We start from the raw sequence: 7068 nt of genomic DNA, 5'->3' as shown, positions 1-7068 counted from the left end.
CCCGAGGTCAGGAGTTCAAGACCAGCCTGGCCAACATGGTGAAAGCCTGACAGTACTAAAAATACAAAAAATTAGCTGGGTGTGGTGGCAGGCGCCTGTAATCCCAGCTACTTGGGAGGCTGAAGCAGGAGAATTGCTTGAATCCAGGAGGCGGAGGTTGCAGTGAGCTGAGATCGTGCCATTGCATGCCAGCCTGGGCAACAAGAGCGAAACTCCATCTCAAAAAAAAAAAAATAGACTTTATACTTCACTTTTACTATCTTGCACGTCAGTTTTCCCTGTGACCACAGGGTCAGCCATGTAATCAGGGTGCAAGTGAAAAGCCTGGCGCCACAAGGATATAGCTGGAAACCTGCAGGTCATTCAGTGAATCGAATCATTACCTTGAAGAATTTGGCTAGTGGCTGAGTTCACTTTGACCAGCCCCCAAGAGCTGGGGGCTTGGCATGCACCAGCCACTCTGTCAAGCATTGATTCATTGAATCCTCAGGATGAACCAGTGAACTAAGTGGTGCTATTATCCCCATTTAACAGATAAGCAAATGGAAGTAGCAGGAGGTTCAGTGGTGAGGCAGGTGTTCAGATGCTGGAGATCTGACTTGAAAGCTTAAATTATTATTTTTTTTTATTGATGTAAAATCACGTTACATACAATGAACATGTTAAAGTGAACAACTCGGTGGCATTCAGTACATACACAACGTTGTGTAACCACAACCTCTGTTTGGTTCTAAACATTTTCATTGCCCCAAAAGGAAAGCATGTACTCACTAAGCAGTCACTGCCCTCCTCGAAGCCCCTGGCAACCGCCGACCTGCTTTCTGCCTCCAGAAATGTATTTCCTATTCTAGACATTTCATATCAATGGAATCATATGGTACGTGATCTTTAGTGTCTGGCTTCTTTCACTTGGTGTGATGCTTTCGAAGTTCATACACGTTGTAGCATGTATCTGTACTTCGGCCCATCTTTATGTCTGAATGATATGCATTGCAGGAATGTACCAGATTTTGTTTATTCCTTCATTAGTTGATGGACATTTGGGTTGCTTCCAATTTTTGGCTACTGTGAAGGAAGTGAAAATTTTAATTGCTGCCTTCTGCTGCCTTCGTTAAGACAATTTTAACAGATTCTAGATCCTGGGAGTATAGCTGTGGTGGAGAGATGGATGGGAGCCTGTGGGATCCCAGAGGAGGGAGTTCCAGATTCGTCCCAGGGTAGTGCGAAGTTGAAGGATGCTTCATGCTGGAGAAGACCTTGTACTTGGGCCTTGAGGTATTTCATACTGTGGCCAGTGGAGCTCACAGTCCCCAGAGGAGAGGGAGCCAGGAGAAGGGAGGAGGAGGAGGAAGAGGTATAAACTCACCAGATTCAGGAAGTGGTTCAAACAGTGGCCTCTTAGAGGAACAGGCAGAGGAACCTAAATTGGGATCTGAGAGATTAGGGAAGGTAAGGAGGCCTGTTTCACAAGAAACCATGAATGTAGGCCAGAAATTTTGTCTTGGTGGGAGGTTAGAACTCGGCACAGGGGTGTTATGCTCTCCTTGCTCATTGAGATAGACTGAATGCTTATGTCCCCCCATATTCATATGTTGAAGCCTAATCACCAGTGTGATGGTATTTGAAGGTGGGGCCTTTGGTAGGTGATTAGGTCATGAGGGTGAAGCCCCCATGAATGGGATTAGTGCCCTTATAAAAGCGACCTGAGAGAGCTCCCTTCCCTGCCTTTCTACCATGTGAGGACACAGCGAGAAGGCATTGTCTATGAATCAGAAAATGAGCCCTCATCAGACATGGAATCTGCTGGTCCCTTGATCTTGGACTTTCTAGACTCTAGAACTGTGAGAAATAAATTTCTATTGTTTATAAGCCACCCAGTTTATGGTAGTTGGCTATAGTAACCCAAACAAACTAAGACACCCAGGCATTGAGTACCAGGTGCCGTGACTGCAGATGGGAATCCTCACACCTCTGGATGGCAAACCTGGAAGACAACCAGGCTTAAGGAAAGATGAGTCCAGTTTGGGGTGCATTAAAAGCATGGAGCCTGCAGGTCATTCGGGGAGAGATGTGCAGGAGAATATAGGAGATTAGAGCTTAGGAGAGAGGCCTGGGCTGGAAATGTAACTTGTGAGGCCTCATCAGAGTCCAACCTTGTGGTTCCCACCTGGATTGAGTTCAGGTCATTTCAAAGATTTACTGAGTACACTTCATGTGCTGTGTCCAAGGCTGGACTCTAAAAATACAGGGCTGGACATAGTACAGTTCCTGACCTGGGGAAGCTGACAGTTTGGAGATCAGAGCTAAATACTAACAAGGATAATTTATAAAAATATTAATGTAAATTTGATTAAAGAGTAACATGCATGTAGAAAAGGGAACACATCACAAGTGCTTTACCAAAAAAATTTTCACAGAGTGATGACATCTGAGCAATTAGTAGCCAGATCAAAAAAAAAGATCCTGGGCTAGGTGCAGTGGCTCATGCCTATAGTTCCAGCACTCTGGGAGGCTGAGGCAGGAGGATCGCTTGAGCCCAGAAGTTCAAAACCAGCCTGGCCAACATGCGGAGACCATGTCTCTACACCAAACTAAAAAAATTATTTAGGCGTGATGGTGCACGCCTGTAGTCCCAGCTACTCTGGAGGCTGCCGTGGAAAGATGGCTTGAACCAGGGAGGTCAAGGCTGCAGTGAGTCATGATGGCACCACTGCACTCCAGCCTGGGTGACAGAGAGATTCTGTCTCAAAAACAAAACAAAAACAAACAAACAAAATCCCCAAAGAACAGATCCTTACCAGAATCTCCCAGAACTCCCTAATGCCCCCTTCTAGTCGTTACTAACCACCAGCCCCTGACCTCCGCCCCACTAGTCACCAGTATCTGGACTTTGAACACCAAAGATTAGTTATGTGTGTTTCTAAACCTTGTATCAAGTACATCACATAGTATGTACTTTCTGTATCTGGGTTCTTTCACTCAACATTATATTTCTAAGATTCATACATGTTGTATGGAGTCATTATTTGCTTCTTCCATTGCAGAAATAATCCATAATTTATTTATCTGTATTACTGTTGATTGGTATTGGGTAGGTTTTATTTTCAGTCATTACAATTAGTGCTGCTATGAACATTCTTCTGTATATTTGAAGAACATTTGTATGCATTTCTGTTAGGTATGCACCTAGGAGTAGTTTGTAACCAGAGGAAACCTGTGCTGCTCCAGCCCCACCTCTGACAACTGCAGGGCTGTCCCCTCCCTGACACACTCACCCTCCCTCCCCAGGATGGGGCATGTCCCTCAGCCAGCAGCGCCCTCACTGCCCCTGCACCCTGGGCAGTTGCCTCCCATCTATGGGGCAGAGCACCCTGGGGGTCTGGGCTGGGTGAGGTGGACCCTGGAGGGGCACCCGCCACTCCCATGGGCAGGGGAGGCGGAGGCGGGCACAGCCTAGCAGGGTTCGGGCTTGGCCTCCCAAAGTGTTGGAATTGCAGGCGTGAGCCACCGCAACACCAGAATCTTCCATTTGTTTATCTAAAGGGTATTGTGAGCTTATGGCATAATGCTTTCACCCCCTGTAATGGTTTGGGTGCTGCTGATGAATTTGGGGCTGGTTTTCTTAAACTGATTTTTATCATTTTAATTAGGCTTTTTGGGAGGATGATTGTGAGCTTCTTTCTGCCATCTCAATTTAGACATCTACCTTTGAGGTCATTTGGAAGGATAAAAAGATGGTGCCCGATGATGACATGGTGACAGCCCTTCTTGGAAGAGGGATGTGGATTCAAACAGACAGGGAGGAATGCATTAGAATGGGGTCCATAGAGTGTAGGATGTGGCAATGGAAGAGTAGACTGAGCGAGATTCAGAGCAACATAGAATAGAGGTCAGCACACCACAGCCCGTGGGCTGCCTGTTCTGATAAATAGCATTTTGTCGGAACATGGCCATATAATTCATTTTCAGATTGTCTGTGGCTGCTTTGTTGCTACAATGGCGGAATTAAATAGTTGCAATAGAGACCACATTGCTTGCAAAACTGAACATGTTTACTATCTGGCCCTTTGCTAATACTGGTTGACCATCTCTGACTTAGAATGTCACATTGAGAAGCTTCAAATTATTCCTGTGGGTTGGGGATCTAGGGAACTATTTTCACTATGGTCAGCTCTGAGTTTTAGAAAATTCCCCAAATGCTAATATGTGATTTTCCCTGTAGCAGGACATAAAGAAAGCAGAAATCCGAGTAGGGGACAGGTGAGATGAAAAGAGAAGATTCAGGAGTGGAGAGAGATGATGTTGGAGGGTAAGTCAGGGAAGACATATATGGTGGGGTTTTGAGCAGCAAGTGAGATGGACATGTTGCTGATATAGTTCCAGAGATCAAATATCACTAATGACTTCTGTTCAAGGGGGAAGGAACCAGTATGCACCGAACTCTCACTGCACCAGGACTGGTGTTTTCCATGTGTACCTTTATTTAATGCTCACAGCATCCCTATGAGATAGGACTTCTTATACCTACTTCACAGAGAAGAAAATGGAGACATGGAAGGTTAAGGAGCTTGTGTGACATCATACACTTAGCAAATGAAAGAGCACAGATTTGATTCCACGACTCTCTGCTTGCAAAGTCTAAGATGATGTTAATATAGCAGGAAACTCACATAATGTCTATAAACCCATTGCCTGTGGGGTGTTAAATCTCCAAGAATCAGCCTTTGGTCCCCGACCTGTAGAGGATGTGGATCTTCTAGCTGAGCCTGATGCTCTTGTGGGTTCCTCACTGGGTCCTGACCTCTGAGTATTCGGTGGAGGTGTCCTTGGAAGGATTCATCCCATGAAAGTTGAGGGAAGCATAATGCAGCTCCTCATCCATCTCCACAGTAGGGGCGGCACCTGAACAGCTTGAGGTTTCAGTGGGGCCATGTAACTTGGACTTCTTCTGGTGTTTCTTATGGAGAGGAAAGAAGGGGGTTAGAGCAGGGCAGTGAGGAGGGGGACCAGGAGAAGGCAAAGAGGGTCAATGAAGTAAATTTGACTCTGACAGAACATTTATTCACTCTTTCATTCTTTCATCAAATGTTAATTAATTAAGGCTCTACTTATTCATTATCTAACACATGTAGCACGTATTGATTGATTCGCAATTCTCTTGAATACTCACAGAGACTAATGTGGAAAAATTCTGGGCAGCTACACTGACATCATCTTTGGCATCTATTATTTTAATCCATTTTACAGACCAGGAAACTAGGTCTCAGAGAGCTTAGGTAATTTCCAAAGTCACACATCTGTTGACCCTGAACTCGGTCCCAGGTCTCTGGGACCTCCTATGTGCTGGGCACTGGATCCTCAGGAGGGAGCAGAGCAGAGCAGGGGCCCTGTGATTTCCAGTACTGCAGGGGATGAAGACAGAAACAGACTGGTAATTGCAAATTGTGACAGTGTGCAGATGAACAGGAGAGAGTAGAATGATGGAGGTCTAATAAAACCCAGGCTTTTCCTTGTGGAGCTCATGGTGTGGTAGGGGAAGCTATGGGAATGCAGTTAGTTCAAGTGGTGCAAAGCCCTACACAAACAGGGAACATGGTATCATAAGAGACACAGGAGCAGATGCTGGAGAAATGGCAAGTCTACAGGGTACAACCATTTGCTGGTGCAGGCCCATTTCTTGGTTCTAGATTTGGGGCAGTGTTTCTCAAAAGAGTCCTTCAACTCACAGTTTCTGCCTCTTCTCCTCCCATTCTCTCTTGAACTCTCTCTAGTCAAGAGATCTTCCTCCAGCAGAAAAATCAGATCTGCTTTGCTGTCATACCACTTAGCTACATTCAAATAGCCATTTCTCAGATTCCATCTTACCAGACTTACCAGCATTTGAAACAAATGACCAACCTCTCCTCCATGAAGCCCCATCTTCCCTTGGCCACCAACACTACAGCCTGCAATTTCCTGGTCATTGGCTCCTATTCATTCTCAGCTTTCTCACCATTTACACCTCATCTCCCTAACATTAAATGCTGGAGGGTTCCAGGGCTGTGTCTGTGGACCCCTTCTCTTCTTTGTAGATTCATCGATTATTGGATGTTGATAGGGAAGCTCCCAACCTCTGTGTCTCCCACGTGGAGCCCTCTTCTGAGCTCCAGACACTTGCCTGCTACTTGTCATCTCCACATGGATGTCTCAGAGGCACCTCAAACTTACGGTAACCAAAATAATGTTTGATATACACTTGAAAATAGACTTCTCCTTCAAGGATGGCAATTTTAATCATTGGCAATTTGATTTTTTAAGTTTGAATTCTGAGTTAACCACATGAACATCATCATTGGCATCTATAGACATCTATGACATCTATGGGGTCTTCTTGGACATCCATGACATCTATGATATCTGTGGACCCACCTATGACATCTGAGACACTTATCGAGCAGAGCCCGTGAGCTATCTTTGCTCATGCCTTGCATGCACTCCATCACTCCACTTGCAAATACTGTTGACTCCACCTTCAAGATGTATCCGGAACCCAATTTCTCCACATCAGATTCATTATTCTTACTTGGGACTAAGTCTGAGTCAGTCATCTCTTGGCTTGATTATCTGTGTATCTTCTATTCTGGTATCTTCTCTTCTATACTACATACTAGAGTTTCTCACAGAGCAGCCAGAGTGACTCCCACTAAAATGAGTGTCAGTTCATGTCACTCTTCTGCTCTAAACGCATCAATAACTATGATGGACTTAGGATCCTGCAATATTTGCAGCTCCTATGTCTCTTCAACCTCATTTCCTACCTACCATTGTTCAGTCCACACTCCACCCCCAACACGTAACTCTGCCTTATCCACACTGTCCTACTTTGTTTCTCTAAAACATCAGATGTGTTCCGGCCTCAGAGCCATGGTACTTGCTGCTTCCTTGATGATTCTCTACTGCTCATACTGTACTCACTTTCTTTCTGCAGGTGTTTGCCCAAAGGCCATTCTTTGGCCCCCAGGACTGTCCAATCCGTTCTCCCATTTCATTTCCTGCCATAGCACTTATTTCATGCCTATTTCATGTATA

The 7068-nt window shown here is 45.2% G+C and overlaps 1 protein-coding gene and 1 long non-coding RNA gene across 13 annotated transcripts in view; one reads left to right on the top strand and one right to left on the bottom strand.

Annotated features, from left to right (window-relative positions):
• Positions 1–7068, top strand: part of LOC107985327 (uncharacterized) — an 84260-nt gene that overhangs the window by 26693 nt on the left and 50499 nt on the right. The window contains exon 3 of one of the 2 annotated variants that reach the window (XR_001753982.2): positions 4226–4328. The exons of the other annotated variant lie outside the window; for it this stretch is intronic. This is a non-coding gene — a long non-coding RNA (uncharacterized LOC107985327). Of the gene's footprint in view, positions 1–4225; positions 4329–7068 lie in introns of those variants that run through there. 2 annotated transcript variants of the gene reach the window in all.
• Positions 4459–7068, bottom strand: part of CD33 (CD33 molecule) — a 28941-nt gene continuing 26331 nt past the window's right edge. For all 11 annotated transcript variants that reach the window (XR_007067046.1, XM_017027508.2, XM_047439730.1 and 8 more), the window contains one exon: positions 4459–4957. Coding sequence is in view for 9 of the 11 variants with exons in the window: in XM_017027508.2 (XP_016882997.1) it covers positions 4787–4957 (171 nt within the window). In the remaining 2 variants the exon portion in view is untranslated. The remainder of the gene's footprint in view (positions 4958–7068) is intronic.

Source organism: Homo sapiens, chromosome 19 (genome assembly GCF_000001405.40).
Source record: "Homo sapiens chromosome 19, GRCh38.p14 Primary Assembly".
Lineage (NCBI taxonomy): Eukaryota > Metazoa > Chordata > Mammalia > Primates > Hominidae > Homo > Homo sapiens.
Note: the sequence above shows the minus strand (reverse complement) of the source record. Positions and strands in the feature narration are given on the sequence as shown.